At 47.4% G+C, this 20,973-nt stretch overlaps 1 long non-coding RNA gene across 1 annotated transcript, besides 2 other annotated features; it reads right to left on the reverse strand.

The window, feature by feature from the left end:
• Positions 1-293: 293 nt before the first annotated feature.
• LOC124901622 (uncharacterized) lies at positions 294-4,013 on the reverse strand. The gene is made up of 2 exons (XR_007060299.1): positions 3,925-4,013; positions 294-499 (listed from the first exon to the last, which is right to left on the reverse strand). It is a non-coding gene; the product is annotated as an uncharacterized LOC124901622 (long non-coding RNA).
• Positions 12,433-12,512: an enhancer, noted in NCBI's record as "active region_25952". NCBI's record gives its function as "activates an Ori minimal core promoter by ATAC-STARR-seq in GM12878 lymphoblastoid cells {active_cell/tissue: GM12878}" and the evidence as "EXISTENCE:reporter gene assay evidence [ECO:0000049][PMID:35858748]".
• Positions 12,563-12,642: an enhancer, noted in NCBI's record as "active region_25953". NCBI's record gives its function as "activates an Ori minimal core promoter by ATAC-STARR-seq in GM12878 lymphoblastoid cells {active_cell/tissue: GM12878}" and the evidence as "EXISTENCE:reporter gene assay evidence [ECO:0000049][PMID:35858748]".

Here is a 20,973-nt window from a genome sequence, read left to right on the forward strand (position 1 = left end):
TTGCCCTTCCTAGGGCTAGTCAATTCTTACAAAAGTGCTCCCTGAGAATATACCGTTTATATGCAAACTAATCAGTCTAGAGCCTATACACCCAACCATCTCCTTTATCAAACACTCACATACCAAGTGAATTTTTCCCCTGCCCGAAATCAACACAGGGCCAAGTTCCAGACAACTTGGGACAGCCCCAATATCCCAAAGCCCACCAAAATTATTCAAGTGAGCAAATCCCAAACTGTTCACCTTTCTCTGCCTTGCCTGTGTGAACCCAAAATATCTGAGAAAGGTCTCAGTCAATTTAGAAAGTTTATTTTGCCATGGTTAAGGACGCGCCCAAGACGCAGCCTCAGGAGGTACTGAGGACATGTGCCCAAGGTGGTCGTGGTACAGCTTGCTTTTATACATTTCAGGGAGACATGAGACATCAATCAATATGTGTCAGCTGTACATTGGTTGGATCCGGTAAGGCGGGACAACTGGAGGTGAGGGCTTCCGGGTCCTAAGTGGATAAGAAACAAAAGGTTGCATTATTTTGAGTCCTTGATCAGCCTTCCACTGAATACACAATTTAGTCTGGCTCAGTGAATATGCTTTTTTATATAAACAATAGGGCAGAGGAAGCAATCAGATATGCATTTGTCTTAGGTGATCCTTAGAGAGGTGACTTGAGTTCTGTCTGACCTTTGTCAGACAGAAATTTCCTTGTGGGCAAATTGTGAGGGAGGTATGTAGCTCCTTATTTTTGTAGCTGTCTTATCTAGGACTAAACTGGGGGGCAGGTTTGCCTGACATAGTTGCCAGCTTGACTTTTCCCTTGGCTTAATGATTTTGGGGTCCCGAGATTTATTTTTCTTTCACACCTGTCCCACAGAAACCCCAATAAAGAATCTGAGGCCAGGCGTGGTGGCTCACACCTGTTAATCCCAGCACTTTGGGAGGCCGAGGCGGATGGATGGATCACCTGAGGTCAGAGACCAGCCTGACCAACATGGTGAAACCCCATCTCTACTAAAAATATAAAAATTATCTGGGCATGGTGGCGGGCGCCTGTAATCCCAGCTACTCAGGAGGCTGAGGCAGGAGAATTGCTTGAACCTGGGAGCCAGAGGTTGCAGTGAGCCGAGATCGTGCCATTGCACTCCAGACTGGGTGACAGAACAAGACTCTGTCTAAAAAAAAAAAAAAAAGAATCTGGCGTAGGCTTCCCCCAGATCCTGCTTATGCCTCCTGACCAAACTTGGTGCTTCTCCATGTGACATGGCATGGCATGCCTCTTGTTTCTAGAAAAACCGTGAGTTACATTAAACTTCCCTTTCAATGGCATTGGTCTCCTCACTTTGTCACTTAGTCACCTCCATAAATTAAAATTACATGGGTACAAATGAGACAATGAGCCATATGGAAGTCTGGGAAAGGAGCAGCACAGGAAAGGGTGTGGGAAATGGAAAGATAAGGAACTTGGAGAGGTCTGGGAGTCAGAAAGTCAGCCAGTGTGGCTGGAGCATAGTGAGCAAGGAGAGGAAGTAATAGGAGATGAAGGCAGGAAGACAGCCGGGCCAGAGTGTGTCAAACCTTAAAGGGACTGGGTCTTATTTGAGCATGAGTGCAGTGGGAAACCATTACAGGGTTCTGAGAGGAGTGTCATGTGCTGGCTTATGCTTTACAGGGCCCCCTTTGGCTGCTTTCTTTGAGGTAAGGGCAGAGGCAGGGAGACCAATCACTTTTCATCACTTCTGTTCAACATTGCACTGGAGGTTCTACCCAGAGCAATTAGGCAAGAAAATGAAATATGGCGAGGAACAGTGGCTCACGCCTGTAATCTCAGCACTTTGGGAGGCTGTGGTGGGTGAATCACTTGAGCTCAGGAATTCAAGACCAGCCAGGAATTTGAGACCAGCCTGGGCAAGATGGCGAAACCTCATCTCTACAAAAAATACAAAAATTAGCCAGGCATGGTGGTGTGTGCCTGTAGTCCCAGCTACTCAGGAGGATTGCTTGAGCCCAGGAGGTTGAGGCTGCAGTAAGTCTTGATCTGGCCACTGCACTCCAGCCTACAGAGTGCAGTCTGTAGGATGACAGAGCAAGATCCAGCCCCTCCCCCCTCCAAAAAAAAACAGAAAGAAAAGAAAAGATGAAATAAAAGGCATTCAGATTGCAAAAGAAAAAGTGAAATTATCTCTATTTGCAGATTACTTTATATTTTATATAGAGAATACTGGTTGGGTGCAATGGCTCACGCCTGCAATCCCCAGAACTTTGGGAAGCAGAGGCAAGTTGAGCATCTGAGGTCAGGAGTTCAAGACCAGTCTGGTCAACATGGTGAAACCCCATCCCTACTAAAAATACAAAAATTAGCCAGGTGTGGTGGTGGGCACCTGTAATCCCAGCTTCTCCGGAGACTGAGGCAGGAGAATCACTTGAACCCAGGAGGCAGAGGTTGCAGTGAGCCAAGATTGCACCACTGTTCTCCTGGGTGACAGAGCGAGAAAAAGAAAAATAAAAAACAATACTAAAGAACCTACTAAAAAAACTGTTAGAATTAGTAAATGAGATCAGCTAGATTGCAGGATACAAAAATCAATGTACAAAAATCATTTGTATTTCTACACAGTAGCAGTGAACAAACTGAAAATAAAATTTTAAAAAGATTCCATTTGGGCTGGGCACAGTGGCTCATGCCTGTAATCCCAGCAGTTTAGGAGACCAAGGCAGGCAGATCACCTGAGGTCAGGAGTTCGAGATCAGCCTGGCTAATATGGTGAAACCCCATCTCTACTAAATATACACAATTAGCTGGGCGTGGTGGCGGATGCCTGTGATCCCAGTTACTTGGGAGTCTGAGGCAGGAGAATCGCTTGAACCTAGGAGGCAGAGGTTGCAGTGAACCGACATCGTGACACTGCACTCCAGCCTGGGCGACAGAGTGAGACTCCATCTCAAAAAAAAAAAAAAAAAAGATTCCATTTTTGGCAGGGCATGGTGGCTCACGCCTATAACCCCAACACTTTGGGAGGCTGAGGCTGGAGGATTACTTAGGCCCAGCAGTTTTACTCTAGCCTAGTTGACATAGTAAGACACCATTTCTACTCTAAAAAATTTTATTTATTTATTTATTTTTTTGAGACGGATTCTCTTTCTGTCACCCAGGCTGGAGTGCAATGGCGCGATCTTGGCTCACTGCAACCTCTGCTTCCCAGGTTCAAGCGATTCTCCTGCCTTAGCCTCCTGAGTAGCTGAGATTACAGGTGTGCGCCACCATGCCCAGCTAATTTTGTATTTTTAGTAGAGATGGGGTTCACCATGTTGGTCAGGCTGGTCTCGAACTCCTGACCTCGTGATCTGCCTGCCTCAGCCTCCCAAAGTGCTGGGATTACAGGTGTAAGCCACCACACCCAGACATAAAAAAAAATTTTTTTAAAGAAAATATTTCATTTTGGCTGGATGAGGTGGCACACGCCTAGTGATAGCAGCAGGATAGCTATCCCAGTGATAGCAGCAGGAGGCAGACAAATCACTGGGCAGACAGGGTCAGGTCCCTGGTGAAACTTGACCTTCAAGCCGAAGGCAGTTTAAAGCCTGAATACCATGCTATGAGTCTTGGATAAATCCACGGACCAGATTGAGAACCTCTGTTCCCATTTGGTGCACTTTCCTGATTCATCCCCACCCTTCACCTATTTTACATATACCTACCCTTTCCTAATTGTTTTTCTTTTTTTTACAGTCATGTCCATCTTTGAGTGGTGCCTTTTTTTTTAGCCTTTTTTGCATACTCACAAACCAATCAGCATGCAATCCCCCATTATGAGCCCATAAGCCCCAGACTCAGCCACACTTGTGGGTGGGGGATCACCCTCCCCAAGTCCCCTCTCAGCTGAGAGCTGTTCCATATGGCTCAATAAAACTCTTCTCTGCCCTTCTCACCCTCTGGTTGTCCACGTAACATCATTCTTCTTGGATGCAGGACAAGAACTCAGGACCTACTGAATGGCGGGTGCCAAAGGAGCTGCTCTAACACTGTTGCCCTCTGCCCTCCACTGGCTCCAAGCAGATGACCCACGTGACAGGAAGCCACAGTTGAGGCCAGGCCAGCCCTGGAGCCACGGGCCAGAGTGGGGCAGCGGGACTCAATGAGCTGTAACACAGACTGGCTTAAACACGCCCCCAATCCCCCTGTTTGAAATGCTGTGGGCGATGGGAAGAGAAGAGCTATGTCCCTTCTGGGGGCCTAGACCTCGGGGCTCCCCAAGCCAAAGCTGTAGCACACTGTAACACCTCCTGTGGTGGGCTTCAGGGTCGCTGGCGTCTTGATTTTCTCAGGTGCCACTGCGTTCCCCTTGTCCAGGCACTGGTGCCCAAGGCAGGAGCAGGTCACAGCACCCCTGGCCCACCTGTTGGCTGAGTGCAAGCCAAGGGCAGCCTCTGGGCTGCGTGGGTGGGGTACCTCCAGATGCAAGCCTGGAGCCAAGCAAAGCCCTGTGAAGGGGGTTGCCAACCACAGAGGTCTCCGGCTGGTGAAACAGCACCAAAAAAATCCTGCATCACCAGCACTTTGAGAGGCTGAGGTGGGTGGATTACCTGAGATCAGGAGTTCAAGACCAGTCTGGGCAACATGGTGAAACCTCATCTCTACCAAAAATACAAAAAAAATGCCAGGTGTGGTGGTCCGTGCCTGTAGTCCCAGCTACTTGGGAGGCTGAGGTGGGAGGATCACTTGAATCTGGGACGTCAAGGCTACAGGGGGCTGAGATCACACCACTGTACTCCACACTGGGTGACAAAGGGAGACACTGTCTCAAAAAAAAAAAAAAAAAAGAAAGAAAGAAAAGAAAGAAAAAGAAAAGAAAACATTCCATTTTTATTTTTATTTATTTATTTATTTTTGAAACGGAGTCTTGCTCTGCCTTCAGGCTGGAGTGCAGTGGTGCAATCTCAGCTCACTGCAACCTCCTCCTCCTGGGTTCAAGCAATTCTCCTGCCTCAGCCTCCCAAGTAGCTGGGACTACAGGCATGTGCCAACACACCCAGCTAATTTTTGTATTTTTAGTAGAGACAGGGTTTTACCATATTGGCCAGGATGATCTCTATCTCTTAACCTTGTGATCTGCCCACGTGAGACTCCCAAAGTGCTGGGATTACAGATGTGAGCCACCGAGCCCAGCCAACATTCCATTTTTAATAGCATCAAAATGAATAAAATGCTTAGGAATAAGTTTATCCAAAAAGTGCAAAACTTACACTCTGAAAACTATAAACTATTGTTAAAGAAATAAAAAAACATCTAAATAAATGGCAAGATATCCCATGTCCATGGATTGGAAGACTTAATATAAATAAGATGACATTACTCCCCAAATTGATCTACAGAGTCAATACAATCCCTACCAAAATCTCAGATTTTTTTTTTGTGGAAATTGACAAGCTGACCCTAAAATTCGTATGAAAATTCAAGGTTTCAGCTGAGCACGGTGGCTCACGCCTGTAATCCCAGCACTTTGGGAGGCTGAGGCAGGTGGATCACGAGGTCAGGAGTTTGAGACCAGACTGGCCAATATGGTGAAACCCCGTCTCTACTGAAAATACAAAAATTAGCCGGGTGTGGTGACACATGCCTGTAGTCCCAGGTACTCAGGAGGCTCAGGCAGAAGAATTGCTTGAACCCAGGAGGCGGAGGTTGGAGATCGTGCCACTGCACTCCAGCCTAGGAAACAGAGCGAGACCCCATCAAAAAAGAGAGAGAGAGAGAAAGAAAGAAAGAAAGTTCAAAATTTGACAAAACTCAACCTCCTTTTATGATAAAAACTCCTAACAAATTAGATATAGAGGTAATGTTCCTCAACACAATAAAGGCCATATAACACAAGCCCACAGCAGCTAAAATCATATTCAACAGTGAAAAGTTAAAAGCTTTTCCTCTAAGATCAGGAAAAAGACAAGGATGCCCACTCTCACAACTTCTTTTTTTTTTTTTTTTGAGACATATTTTCCCTCTTGTTGCACAGGCTGGAGTGCAATGGTGTGATCTCGGTCTCGGCTCACCACGACGTCCACCTCCCAGGTTCAAGCGGTTCTCCTGCCTCAGCCTCCCGAGTAGCTGGGATTACAGGCATGCGCCACCACACCCTGGCTAATTTTGTATTTTTTATTTTTAGTAGAGACTGGGTTTCTCCATGTTGGTCAGGCTGGTCTCAACCCCTGACCTCAGGTGATCCGCCTGCCTCGGCCTCCCAAAGTTCTGGGATTACAAGTGTCAGCCACTGCGCCAGCCCACTCTCACCACTTCTATTCAATATAGTACTGCAAGTCCTACCAGAGCAATTAGGCAAGAAAAAAGAAGTAAAATAGAAAGGAAGAATTTAATGTGTCTTTGTTTGCCGATAACATGAATACCCTAAAGACTTTGAAAAAACCTGTTAGAACTGCTAAACAAATTTAGTAAAGTTTCAAGTGTGCAGGATACTGGCTGGGTGTGGTGGCTCACACCTGTAAACCCAGCACTTTAGGAGGCCGAGGCAGGTGGATCACTTAAGGTCAGGAGTTCAAGACCAGCCTGGCCAACATAGTGAAACCCCGTCTCTACTAAAAATACAAAAATTAGCCGGGCATGGTGACACAATCCTGTAATCCCAGCTACTGAGGAGGCTGAGGCAGAAGAATCGCTTGAACCCAGGAGGTGGAGGTTGCAGTGAGTCGAGATTTTGCCACTGCACTCCAGCCTGGGCAACAGAGTGAGACTCCATCACAAAAAAACAGAATTATAGAAGTAGAGAGTTGAATGGTGGTTACCAGATGCAGGAGGAGGCAGGAGGAGGCAGGAGGTGGTGGATGGGGAAAGGGTTGGTCTAAGGGTACATGCAAAGTTTCAGTTAGGAGAAATAAGTTCTAGTGATCTACTGCATAGCATGGTGACTATAGTTAATAATAATGGATTGTATATTCCAAAATTGCTTAAAGAGTCCATCTTAGATGTTCTTTCCACAAAGAAATAAGTATATGAGGTGACAGATAGGTAGATATATAAGTTAACTTTTTTTCTTTTCTTTTTTTTTTTTGAGACAGAGACTTGCTCTGTCACCCAGGCTGGAGTACAGGGGTGCAATCATATAGAAGCTCACTGCGGCCTCCACTTCCCAGGTTCAAGCGATTCTTATGTCTCAGCCACCTGAGTAGCTGGGATTAAGGCATGCGCCACCACAGCTGACTAATTTTTGTGGGTTTTTTTTTTTTTTTTTGAGACACAGTCTCGCTCTTTCACCCAGGCTGGAGTGCAGTGGCACGATCTCAGCTCACTGCAACCTCTGCCTCCCGGGTTCAAGCCATTCTCCTGCCTCAGCCTCCTGAGTAGCTAAGATTACAGCCATGTGCCACCACGTCCAGCTAATTTTTTTTTTTTTTTTTTGAGAAGGAATCTCACCCTGTTGCCTAGTCTGGAGTGCAGTGGCACGATCTTGGCTTGCTGCAACCTCCACCTCCCGGGTTCAAGCAATTCTCCTGTCTCAGTCTCTGGAGTAGCTGGGACTGCCCACCACCATGCCCAGCTAATTTTTGCATTTTTAGTAGAGACAGGATTTCACCATATTGGTCAGGTTGGTCTCAAACTCCTGACCTCAGGTGATCCACCCACCTTGGCCTCCCAAAGTGCTGGGATTACAGGTGTGAGCCACCACGTCTGGCCAATTTTTGTATTTTTAGTACAGATGGGGTTTCGCCATGTTGGCCAGACTGGCCTTGAACTCCTGACCTCAGGTGATCCACCCGCCTCTGCCTCTCAAAGTGCTAGGATTACAGGTGTGAGCCATAGTGCCCGGCTAATTTTTGTATTTTTAGTAGTGACGGAGTTTTGCCATTTTAGCCAGGCTGGTCTCAAACTCCTGGCCTCAAGTGATTCACCCGCTTTGGCCTCCCAAAGTTCTGGGATTACAGGCATGAGTCACTGCTCCTGACCTAGTTAACTTGATTTAATCATTCCACAGTGTATACATATAATAATACCTTTTACCCTATAATGATATACAATTATTATTTGTCAATTAGACATAAAGTTATAAAAAAATTCAAGTGACCCAGAATAGCCAAAACAACCTTGAAAAAAAGACAGCAAAGTTGGAAAACTCACACTTCCCAATTCCCTTCCCTTCCCTCCCCTCCCTTCCCCTTCCTTCCACTCCCTCTCCCTCCCCTCCCTTCCCCTCCCCTCCCTTCCCATCCTTTCCTCTTCCTTCCCCTTCCCCCTCCACTCCCCTCTCCTCCCTTCCCCTCCCTTACTCTTCCCTCCCCTCACCTTTCCTTTCCCCCTTCCTTTCTCCTTTCCTTGTTTGTTTTGTTTTTACAGACAGGATCTCTCTCCCAAGCTGGAGTGCAGTGGTGCAATTATAGCTCACTGCACCCTCAAACTCCTGAGCTAAAGCAATCCTCCCATTTCAGCCTCCTGAATAGCTAGGGCTACAGGTGCATGCCACCAAGCCCAGCTAATTAACAAAATATATTTTTTGGCTAGGTGTAGTGGCTCACACCTGTAATCCCAGCACTTTGGGAGGCCGAGGATGGCAGATCACCTGAGTTCAGGAGTTCCAGGCCAGCCTGGCCAACGTGGCGAAAGCCTGTCTCTACTAAAAATACAAAAATTAGCCAGGCATGGGGGCGGGAGCCTATAATTCAGCTACTCAGGAGGCTGAGGAGGGAGAATTGCTTGAACCCAGGAGGCAGTGGTTGCAGTGAGCCAAGATCATACCACTGCAATCCAGCCTGGGCAACAAGAGCAAAACTCCATCTCAAAAAAAAAAAAAATTCTTTTGTATAGACAGGATCTTGATGAGTTGCCCATGCTGGTCTTGAACTCTTGGCCTCAAGGGATCCTCAATCCTCAGTCTCCTACAGCACTGGGATTATATGTATGAGCCATGGAACCTGGGCCCCAATTTTAACTTACTACAAAGCTACAGTAATCAGATCAGTGAGGTACCGGCATAAGGAGAGATACATAAATCAATGGAATAGAATTGAAAGTCCAGACATAGGCTGGACGCAGTGGCTCACGCCTGTAATCCTAGCACATTGGGAGGCTGAGGTGGGCAGATCACGAGGTCAGGAGTTCGAGACCAGCCTGACCAACATGGTGAAACCCCGTCTCTACTAAAAATACAAAAATTAGCCAGGCGTGGTGGCGGGCGCCTGTAATTCATGCCACTGCACTCCAGCCTGGGCAACAGAGCAAGACTCCATCTCAAAAAAAAAAAAAAAAAGGAAAAAAAAATAAGTGAAAGGACAATCCACAGAATAGGAGAAAATGTTTACAAATTATATCTGATAAGGGACTTGTGTCCAGAATATACAAAGAATTCCAAGTTGGGAGCAGTGGCGTGTGCCTCTAGTCCCAGCTACTCAGGAGGCTGAGGCAAGAGGATCACTTGAGCCCAGGTGTTAGACACCAGCCTGGGCAACACAGGGAGACCCTCATCCTCTTGAAAAGAAATCCAATTTAAGAACGGGTAAAGGATCTGAATAGTCATTTCTCCAAGGAAGATATACAAATGGCAGTAAGTATGTGAAAAGATTCTCAACATCATGAATCATTAGGGAAATGCCAACGAAAACCACAATGAGATGCCACGTCACACCTACTAGAATGACTAATAAAAAGACACAGGATGTAGAGAAGCTGGAACCCTCATACACTGCTGGTGGGAATGTCAAATAGTACAGCTGCTTTGGAGAACAGGAAGATCATCTGGTAGTTTCTCCAAGTTTAAACATAGAGTTACCATTAAACCCATTAATTCCACTTACAAGTATGTACCCAGAGAAGTGAAAGCATGTCCACACAGAGACTTATACATGAATGTTCATAGCTGCATTATTCATAGTAGCCAAAAAGCTGAAATAACCAAAATGTCCATCAACTCATGAACAGATAAACAGAATGTGGTGTATCCCTATGATGGAATATTATTCAGCAATGAAAAGGAATAAAGTGCTGATACATGCTACAACATGAATAAACCATGAAAGCATTATGCTCAGTGAAAGAAGCCAGATACAAAAGATCACATATTTTATTATTCCGTATATATTAAATGTCCAGAATAGGCAAACCATAGGAACAAAAAGTAGATTATTGGTTGCCAGGGGCTGGGGAGGAGGTAATGCGGAATGACATCTAATGGATATAGGATCTCTTCTGACAGTGATAAAAATGCTCTAAAATTGATTATGTTCATATACATAACACTGTTGAATTGTATACTTTATATAGGTGAATTTTTTTTTTTTTTTGAGATGGCGTCTTGCTCTGTTGCCCAGGCTGGAGGGCAGTGGCGCAATCTCGGCTCACTACAACCTCCACCTTCAGGGTTCAAGCAGTTCTCCTGCCTCAGCCTCCCAAGTAGCTGGGATTACAGGCGTGTGCCACCACACCTAGCTAATTTTTGTATTCTTAGTAGAGACGGGGTTTCATCATGTTGGCCAGGCTGGTCTCGAACTCTTGACCTCGTGATTTGCCCACCTCAGCCTCCCAAAGTGCTGGAATTACAGGCGTGAGCCACCACACCCACCCCAGGTGAATTGTATAAATGTGAATTTATAGCTCGAATAGACTGTTATTAAGAGCAAAAAGAGGCTGATGGTAGTGGCTCACCCTTGTAATCCCAGTGCTCTGGGAGGCAGAGATGGGTGGATCACTTGAGCCCAGGAGTTTGAGACCAGCCTAGGCACACAGGGAGACCCCATCTCCACAAAAAGTACAAAAATTAGCTGGGCATGGTGGCACGTATCTGTAGTCCCAGCTATTTCAGAGGCTGAGGTGGTAGGATCACTTCAACCAGGGAGATTGAGGCTGCAGAGGGCTCTGCGTTCACACCACTGCACTCCAGCCTGGGCTACAAAGAGACCCTGTCTCAAAAAATAAAAATTAAAAAAAAAAAAAGAGAAAGAGCAAAAAGAGAGGGCTGGCAAGGGCTGGAGCAAGGGCAGCATTGATTGGGTGTTGCGAAGTGCTTGGATGTGGCTCAGTAGTGGGTACAGAAGATCAGGGGCCTGGAGTAGGGAGGAGCACCAGAGCAGGCTGAGCCCAGTCCAGAGGCAGCTGGGTGGGGTCCTGGGAAGAGGCACCTGTTGAGGCTCTCTCCCATCACTTTTATGGGCTCAGTGGACTCAGGAGGAAGGTCGTCTGTGAAGAGTGAGCCAAGGAGGTGAGAAATTGTGGTCTGTGTCTGGAAGCGCAGGGTGCATTGACTGGGAAGGAATCAGTCCAACCTGCCAGCACCTAGGGTCCATCTGAGGTCAGGGGTCAGGAAGATCAACTGAAACTAGGCAGCAGGGCCTACACAACCATGGGCTGCTGGTGTCTGGGTATGGACATGGGTGGGGGTTAACAGGGCTTGGAAGGAGACACTTAGAAAATAATACAAATGCTAACTGGAAAACAGGCAACACAACTTCCACCTTAGAATCTCACCTCTGTTAGAGCATTATGCATGTGTGTTGGGAGTTGTGGGGGACTGAGTTCCTCTGGACACTACCCCTTCTCTCCTCCCTGCCCACCTGCACCAACTTAGCCCATGAGAGCTGCTGGCCCACAGGAAGTTCTGGGGTGCAGACCCTGTCAGGTCTTGGGCATAGGAGCCCAGCGGCTAGAAGGGCCCAAAGGCAGCTAGAGGAGAATGGGTTGAAATTTATCCCTCCTGTGACCAGCCAGCAGAGTTTGGGGCATAGCTGATTTTTGTCCTCACTTTGCAGATGTCGGCACCTTGCCTGACTTGGGGTTCAGAAACTCGGCGCGGTGGCTCATGCCTGTAATCCCAGCACTTTGGGAGGCCGAGGCGGGTGGATCATGAGGTCAGGGGTTTGAGACCAGCCTGGCCAAAATGGTGAAACTTCGTCTCTACTAAAAATACAAAAATTAGCCGGGTGTGTGGCACATGCCTGTAGTCCCAGCTACTCAGGAGTCTGAGGCAGAAGAATCGCTTGAACCCAGGAGGCAGAGGTAGCAGTGAGCCTAGACTGTGCCATTGCACTCCAGCCTGGGTGACAGAGCAAGACTCCATCTCAAAAAAAAGAAACTCGGAAGTATCTGAATATGGTGCCCATGGCATGGACATGTCAGCTGGGGCCACAGCCAGGGGCCTGCTGGTCATGGGCAACTGGGAGACAGAGGCAGAGAGAGAAGTGTGGAGGGTCCTTCACAAGACTGTGCCTGTCAGGCTGATGTAGCTCCTGCAAGCTCCCCAAGAATGCCAAGGAGCCAGGGGGAAGTGGCGTGGTGACCCTGGGTGGAGGGAGCATGGATGGTGGAGCTGACCCAGTTCCATCTGTATAAACACATGCAGTGGGGGCCAGTGCTGCTGGAATGTTGTATGTGGAATAGCAGAAGAACATCAATACGCTAAAAGTAGTAGTTTTTTTTTTTCTGGGAGACAGGATTACAGTAAATTTTATTTAATTCTCTTTACTTTAGCTTTCTGTTTTGTTTTTCAGAGACAAGGTCTCACTCTGTTGCCCAGGCAGTGATGCAATCACAGCTCATGGCAGATGACCTCCTGGGCTCAAGCAATCCTCCCACCTCAGCCTCCTGAGTAGCTGGGGCCACAGGCATATGCCACCATGCCTGTGGTGGCTAATTTTTAATTTTTTTGTAGAAATGGGGTCTTGCTATGGTATCCAGGCTGGTCTCGAACTCCTGGGCTACCCATGTCAGCCTCCCAAAGTACTGAGATTACAGGCATGAGCCACAGCACCTGGTCTTACTTTTTTTTTTTTTTTTTTTTTTTTTTGAGACGGAGTTTCCCTCTTGTTGCCCAAGCTGGAGTGCAATGGCGCAATCTTGACTCACTGCAACCTCCACCTCCCAGGTTCAAGCGATTCTCCCACCTCAGCTTCCCGAGTAGCTGGGATTACAAGCACGCGCCACCACCCCTGGCTAATTTTTTGTATTTTGAGTAGAAACAGGATTTTACCATGTTAGCCAGGCTGGTCTCGAACTCCTCACCTCAGGTGATCCACCCGCCTCGGCCTTCCAAACTGCTGGGATTATAGGCGTGAGCCACCGCGCCGAGCCGGTCTTACATATTTTTATGTTTTACAATAAATAGGTATTGTTTTTGTGACAGTCTGGGGCCAGGCCTGTGGTGGAGCCTGGGTGCAGGCTGGACAAGTCCTGGAGTGGGGCATGGGTGGGGCCTGAGGTGGGCTTGGAGTAGGACCTGTGGTAAAGCCTGCGTAGGACCTAGGGTACAGCCTGGGACAGAGCTTCAGAGGAGCCCGGGGTCCTGGTGGACCCTGTGAGGCTATGACTGGCTCAGTGAGCCCTGGCTGCTGCTGTACTCTGAGTGAGGAGCGGCAGGGTGACCAGGCTTTTGGAATCTGTGCTAGGAAGTGAAGGTGGACGGGAGAAGCAGCAGGAGATCAGCTGCAGCCACCACACTGGTCCTAGGCCCAGGTGACAGGACATAGGTGTCTGGTGCCACCTTCACTTCACCCCTCCTGACCTCTGACCCTGCACCGTGGGCATGCACATTAACCCCTGCTCCCCATGTCCAGTGCCCGCTCTTTGACCCTCCCCTCTTCACTACTCTGTGTCGAGATCTCAACTCGCAGGGTGGCCAGCCACCGATTCTTTTTTTTTTTCTGAGGCGGAGTGCGATGGTGAGATCTCGGCTCACTGCAACCTCTGCCTCCCGGGTTCAAGCTATTCTCCTGCCTCAGCCTCCCGAGTAGCTGGGACTACAGGCACGTGCTACCACACCCAGCTAATTTTTGTATTTTTAGTAGAGACGGGGTTTCACCATGTTGCCCAGGATGGTCTCGATCTCTTGACCTCATGATCCGCCCGCCTCGGCCTCCCAAAGTGCTGGGATTACAGGCATGAGCCACCGCACCGGGCAGATTCTCCTAGAACTTTAAGAAGTATGAAAAGGTTGAGCCAGCTAGCAGGAGAGCGAAGGTAAGAAAATTGAATAGGGAATTTGACCAACAGGACCGGGTGGGCCACTTAGAGCCAAAGTTCCAGGACAGCAGAAGCTCTCAGAAGGTAGAGCTATCTGAGCAGATATGAAGAAGCAGAGAGGAAGGCTTTTTCATACATAACTCTGAGAAGATCTCCATGATCCTTGCAGTAAAGAAGACAAAACTATGGCAGGCACCCTGGTGTAAAGTGACCATCCACTCCCACCCGGCTCTGCTGCCTGCTCCAGGGCAAGTCACCCTGCTGGGAAGGCACCAGCACTGTCAGACCAGCCCTGCCCCTTTCTCTCCAGACCTCACCCATGGCAAAGTAGACTCTTATGAAGAGACAGCTGTTGGCAGCTGTCCCACCCCCACCTCTGCTCAGCTGCCCAGTAAGATGGCAGGGAGAATGGCCATAGCCACCCAGCCTGTTTTCAGCTCTCTCCCCCGCCACATCTGCTCAAGTCACCATTTCAACAATGTGATTTTAGACATCTGCAGCCTCTCTACCCACTGTTAAACAAATTTCAGCACATTTAGTTTAGTTTAAAAATCAAATTCGGCTGGGCACAGTGGCTCACGCCTGTAATCCCAACACTTTGGGAGGCAGAGGCAGGAGGATCACTTGAGGTCAGGAGTTCAAGACCAGCCTGGCCAACATGGTGAAACCCCGTCTCTACTAAAAATACAAAATCCGCTGGGCATGGTGGTGAACACCTGTAGTCTCAGCTACTTGGGAGGCCGAAGCAGGAGAATAGCTTGAACCCGGGAAGCAGAGGTTGCAGTGAGCCGAGATCACACCATTGCACTACAGCCTGGGCAACAAGAGTGAAACTCCGTCTCAAAAATAAATAAATAAATAAATAAATAAATAAATAAATAAATAAAGATTTTAAAAAGTGTTTTATTGAGACAGAGTCTCGCTCTGTTGCCTAGGCTGGAGTGCGTGGTGCAATTTCGGTTCACTGCAACCTCTACCTCCTGGGTTTAAGCGATTCTCCTGCCTCAGCCTCCCAAGGAGCTGGGATTACAGGCACGCACCACCATGCCTGGCTAATTTTTGTATTTTTAGTAGAGACGGGGTTTCACTATGTTGCCCAGGCTGGTCTCAAACTCCTGGCCTCAAGTGATCCACCCACCTCGACCTCCCAAAGTGCTGGGATTACAGGCATGAGCCACTGTGCCCAGCTAATTTTGTATTTTTAGTAGAGACGGGGTTTCACCATGTTGGTCAGGTTGGTCTCTGACCTCAGGTGATCCACCCACCCGCCTCGGCCTCCCAAAGTGTTGGGATTACAGGTGTGAGCCACTGTGCCATCCTCAAATTGGTTTTTATTAGTGGTTCATGAGTTGGCCAGCATATCATCTAAGGATTTAGAAAACGCACTCCAATGAGAGGAGCGGAGGAGATTGGTTTTGTTGAAAAGGGCTGAGGAAAGAAAAATAGAGAACAAAAAGGGGGTGGGTCATTTTAAATTACTTTCCTTACAGGGTTAAAACAAAGAGGACTTTCTTGTCAAGCCGGCTCAGGAAAACAGGGACCCTTCTGATTGGTTGCTGTGAATTTCCTGTTTTTTGGAAAACTGGCCCGTTTCAAAGTTCAGTTGGGCGATGTGGTACCTAGCATGAGTGATTCCATTTTGGTTTGCTCTGGTCCACTGGGGCCTAGTGCAGGATCTTACTCCAAAACAATGGTCTCCATACATTTCACTGAACTCCACCCCACTCAGCAGCCTGCTCGCTTTATGCCTCTAACAATAGCTCCTGTCTTTGGTCCCCCTCAGTCCAATGGGTCCCATACTCACCTCTAAGATTGATCTCCCTAAAGTGCGATAAGGCTATTCCATTCTGCTTTATTTATTTATTTATTTTGGTTCCCTATTGCCTACAATGTAAATCATGATACATCTATAAAACAAACAGTCATGAAGACTATTTTAGGCTGGGCTTGGCGGCTCACACCTGTAATCCCAGAACTTTGGGAGACCAAGGCTGGAGGATCACTTGAGGCCAGGAGTTTGAGGCCAGCCTGGGGAACATAACAAAACCCTGTCTGTACTAAAAATAAAAATAGCCGGGCACAGTGGCTCACACCTGTAATCCCAGCACTTTGGGAGGCTGAGGTGGGAGGATCACAAGGTCAGGAGTTTGAGACCAGCCTGACCAACATGGTGAAACCCCGTCTCTACTAAAAATACAAAAAGTACCCAGGTGTGGTGGCACATGCCTGTAGTCCCAGCTACTTGGGAGGCTAAGGCAGGAGAATTGCTTGAACCTGGGAGGCAGACGTTACAGTGAGCTGAGATCGCACCACTGCACTCCAGCATGGTCGACAAAGCAAGACTCCGTCTCAAAAATAAATAAATAAATAAAAATAAAAAGTAGCCAGACGTGGTGGTATGTGCCTATAGTCCCAGATGCTCAAGAGGCTGAGGTGGGAGGATCCCCTGAGTGCAGGAGTTGGAGGTTGCAGTGAGCCATGATCATGCCACTGCACTCCAGCCTGGGTGACAGAGAAGAAAATAAATTGTAAGATTTTTAAATAGCTTTTTTTTTTCTGATTCTACAAATAATGTATTCTTGTTTTGTTTTGTTTTATTTGAGGCTCTGTTACCCAGGCAGGAGTGAGTGGTGTAATCACAGCTCACTGCAGCCTTAAACCTCTCAGACTCAGGTGATATTCCTACCTCGGCCTCCCAAGTAGCTGGGACTACAGATGCAAGCCACCATGCCTGGCTATTTTTGAAAAATTTTTTGTAGAGATGGAGTCTCACTACGTTGCCCAGGCTGGTCTCAAACTCCTAGGCTTGACCGATCCTCCAGCCTCAGCCTCCCAAAGTGCTGGATTATACGTGTAAGCCACTGTGCCAGTCCCTGATTCTACAAAGAATGCATTCATGCATTCTTATTCATGGTTTGGCACATTTCCTTCCTGTCTTTTTTTTTTTTTTTTGAGACGGAGTCTCACTCGGTGGCCCAAGCTGGAGTGCAATGGTGTGATCTCAGCTCACTGCAACCTCTGCCTCCCAGGCTCAAGTGATTCTTGTGCCTCAGCCTCCTGAGTAGCTGGGACTACAGGTGCGTGCCACCACACCTGGCTAATTTTTTGTATGTTAGTAGAGACGGGGTTTCACCATGTTGCCTAGGGTGGTCTTGAACTCCTGAGCTCAGGCGATCCATCCACCTTGGCCTCCCAAAGTGCTGGGATTACAGCCGTGAGCCACCGCACCTGGCCCCTTCCTGTCCTTTTTTTTTTTTAATGCCTTTCTAAATACTTTTTTAGATTTTAGTGCCCCTACAAACACTGTGCCATGTTTCTTTATTTCTGTCTACACACACACACACACACACACACACACACACACACTTTGTTGTTTTGTTTTAACCTTATGAGCCTTAATTGCTGACACATGACTCCCAGTGGGCTATTAAACATTCATTCAATGCAATTTATTTATTTATTATTATTATTTTTAGGACAGAATCTCACTCTGTTGCCCAGGCTGGAATGCAGTGGTGCAATCTCAGCTCACTGCAACCTCCACCTCCCGGGTTCAAACGATTCTCCTGCCTCAGCCTCCTGAGTAGCTGGGATTACAGGACCCTGCCACCACGCCCAGCTAATTCTGTATTTTTAGTAGAGATGGGGTTTCACCATGTTGGCCAGACTGGTCTCGAACTCCTGACCTCAAGTGATCTGCCCGCCTCGGCCTCCCAAAGTGCTGGGATTACAGGCATGAGCCATCATGCCCAGCCCATTCAATGCAATTACCCTCTAGGCTATAATCAAATTTCCCCAATTGTCCCAATAGTGTCCCTGCCCCAGTCTAGTTAAGGAGCATGGCATTTTCTTCTCTTGTCTCTAGTCTCCCCTAATCCAGACCTGTGGAGGCTAAAGCAAGTCCATCTTTGATGCCGATCTGCCATGATGACCTCTGATTAACCTCTGTTCTGGGAAGGCCTCTAAGATTTCCAGTTTATCTATTGTTCCTTGTGTAAGAGGCCTTATTGTAATTCCTGCCCTTAGGTCAAAACAGTCTTGATGTTATCATACCTCAATTGTCCTATACATCCCTTCAGGGTCACCCTTTCCCTATCCCATGTAAGCCCCTGATACACAGACAGGGCTTCAGCTCATGAGTTCCTATTAAATGTTTCTTTTGGAGAAACTGAATTTGTCAGCCTCTTTCTTTAACCTCTTAGCTTCCTCCGACTTTAGGGGCAGGCTTGCACAGACCTGCTTACCGAGAAATGAGACCATTTCCCCAGGCCTGACGTTCTCTGAGAGTCACAGACAGTGCTGGAGACTGAGCCTTTGTGTAGATCTGTCTTATTTTTTCATGATCAGATTCAGGTTGAACATTTCTGGCTGGAAATTCTACTTGAAGGAGTCTGTATCTTTTCTCTGAGTATCACATCAGGTACCCAGGATGTCAAATGGTCCCACTGTTGGTGTTGTTGACCTTGGTCATTTTGCTAAGGTAGTGTCTGACCAATGTTATTATAAAGGTTCCTTTCTCCCCGTATAATGAATTAGAGGCCTGTGGGAAGACTGTGTGCTCCGTAAAGGCTTTTCAGGAAACAAAGATGTTGGCATTGTGCAACTTTGTATGATGTTTTCAGTTAGCAAATTGTGACTGTCTGCTCATACCATTAAATATTCTTCAAAAACATGATTTCCAACCTGTGGGTGCGTTCTACTTAACTATTACCTACTAGGATGTAACTATTAGCTTGCTAACACAAGCTCCACGACAATGCAGATTTTCATCAGTTTTACTTACTGCCATGTTTCCAGCACTGAGAGTGGTATCTGGCACACAGTAGAAGCTCAACAGAAAATTGTTGAATGAATGAATACAGCTTGTGTGTAATTTTTCAATATCCTAATGTCACAGCAAACATCCTTGTAAATAAATCTTTGAAGTATTTATTTTGTGAGAAACACAGATAATGCTTGTAAGGGAAATGTTTATGTTGATAATGTGAAAAAATAAGAATGCAAAATCATACATATGCCATATTCTCCACAACATCAAGATATGCAAAGAGAACCATCTGGGAAAAAAACAGAGCAAACAATTGACTGGAATTATCTCTGAACAGTTTTAAGGTATTTTGAACATTTCTCTGTATTTTCCACAATGAGAATATACCGCTTGTATGCAAAGGAGCAGCAGCACCTTTCTCTTTTTTTTTTTTTTTTGAGATGGAGTCTCGCTCTGTCGCCCAGGCTGGAGTGCAGTGGCGTGATCTTCGCTGACTGCAAGCTCCACCTCCTGGGTTCACGCCATTCTCCTGCCTCAGCCTCCCAGGTAGCTGTGGCTACAGGGCCCGCCACCATGCCTGGCTAATGTTTTGTATTTTTAGTAGAGACAGGGTTTCACCATGTTAGCCAGGATGGTCTCGATCTCCTGACCTCGTGATCCGCCCACCTCGGCCTCCCAAAGTGCTGGGATTACAGGCGTGAGCCACTGCGCCCGGCCTACCTTTTTCTTTTTAAAGTTAGTTTTGCAAGTCAAGAGTCATAGTAACTGGGGGTACCCAAACTGGTTAAAAACCAAATTCAGGTTAAGGCCACACCAACTGTAGGAGACTGTGGACTCGCAGGAGCCCCTGGACGCTGGGCTAGGCTGATTACATTTAGGATATCAGGTTCCCTTTCTGGTGTCACATTTTAAAAGCGATATTGTCTAACTGGTGCCTGTCTAAAGGAGAGTGGCCAGTTGGTACAGGATCTGAAAATTGTGTTACTGTTAACACTTAAGGAACTGGGAGCATTATTCCTCCAACAGAAGACTGGGGGATTGAGAAGTTGCTTTTAATATTTGAAGAGCTGTCAAATAACAAAGTGATGATTCTTATTTTATGCACTTGTAGAGGAAAAGCTTCAATAAGGCAGTTTTTTTATTCTAGTAAATGAGGAAGACTTTTTTTTTTTTTTTTGAGACAGAATCTCACTCTGTCGTCCAGGCTGGAGTGCAGTGGTGTGATCTCGGCTCACTGCAACCTCCACCTCCCGGGTTCAGCAATTCTCCTGCCTCAGCCTCCCGAGTAGCTGGGACTACAGGTACACACCACCATGCCCGGCTAATTTTTGTACTTTTAGTAGAGACAGGGTTTCACCATGTTGGCCAGGCTGGTCTCGAACTCCTGACCTCACGTGATCTGCCTGCCTCGGCCTCCCAAAGTGCTGGGATTACAGGCGTGAGCCACCGCGCCAGGCAACTTTTTTTTTTGGGGGGGTGATGGTGGGGGGATAGAGTCTCGCTCTGTCACCCACGGTGGAGTGCAGTGGTGCGATCTCAGCTCACTGCAACCTCTGCCTCTCGGGTTCAAGCGATTCTCCTGCCTCCGCCTCCCGAATAGCTGGGAATACAGGTGCATGCCACCACACCTGGCTAATTTTTGTATTTTTAGTAGAGTAGGGTTTCACGCCACCATGCCTGGCTAATTTTTGTATTTTTTAGTAGAGACAGGGTTTCACCATGTTGGCCAGGCTGGTCTCGAACTCCTGATCTCAGGTGATCCACCCATCTTGGCCTCCAAAAGTGCTAGGATTACAGGCGTGAGCCACTGTGCCCGGCCTCAAGGAAGACTTTCTTAACAATTCATCATATAGTAGAAAATGAAAACATTCCCTAGAAAGGAGTGGACACCAGGTGGCCTTTCCCAGGGGAGCAGGGCAGGAATTATTGAAGCAGTTAGGAGGTGAGAGAGATGCCTGCCCTGGGGGCACCTGGGATGCTTGGCGTGGCCACTTCCAGCATCCTCCACAAACCTGCCTGCAACTCCCCCATACATGCAGCCTCTTCCGAGACAGAGGAATGGTCAGGGTCCCCTGGTGCCTGCCTCCCCCTTCATTTGGGTCTCTTCTTCAGGGCCAGCTCCACAGAGAATCCGTCCCTCATACCTCATCACTCCCTCCCCATTCTCTGGCCCTGATTTAGTTTTCTTCCTAACACTCTTTCTGACAGACACACTGTTACCTGTTAACTCATTTCCTTCTGTTTGTCCCCTCTAACATGCTTGCTG

This window comes from Homo sapiens, chromosome 7 (assembly GCF_000001405.40).
Source record: "Homo sapiens chromosome 7, GRCh38.p14 Primary Assembly".
Taxonomy (NCBI): Eukaryota; Metazoa; Chordata; class Mammalia; order Primates; family Hominidae; genus Homo; species Homo sapiens.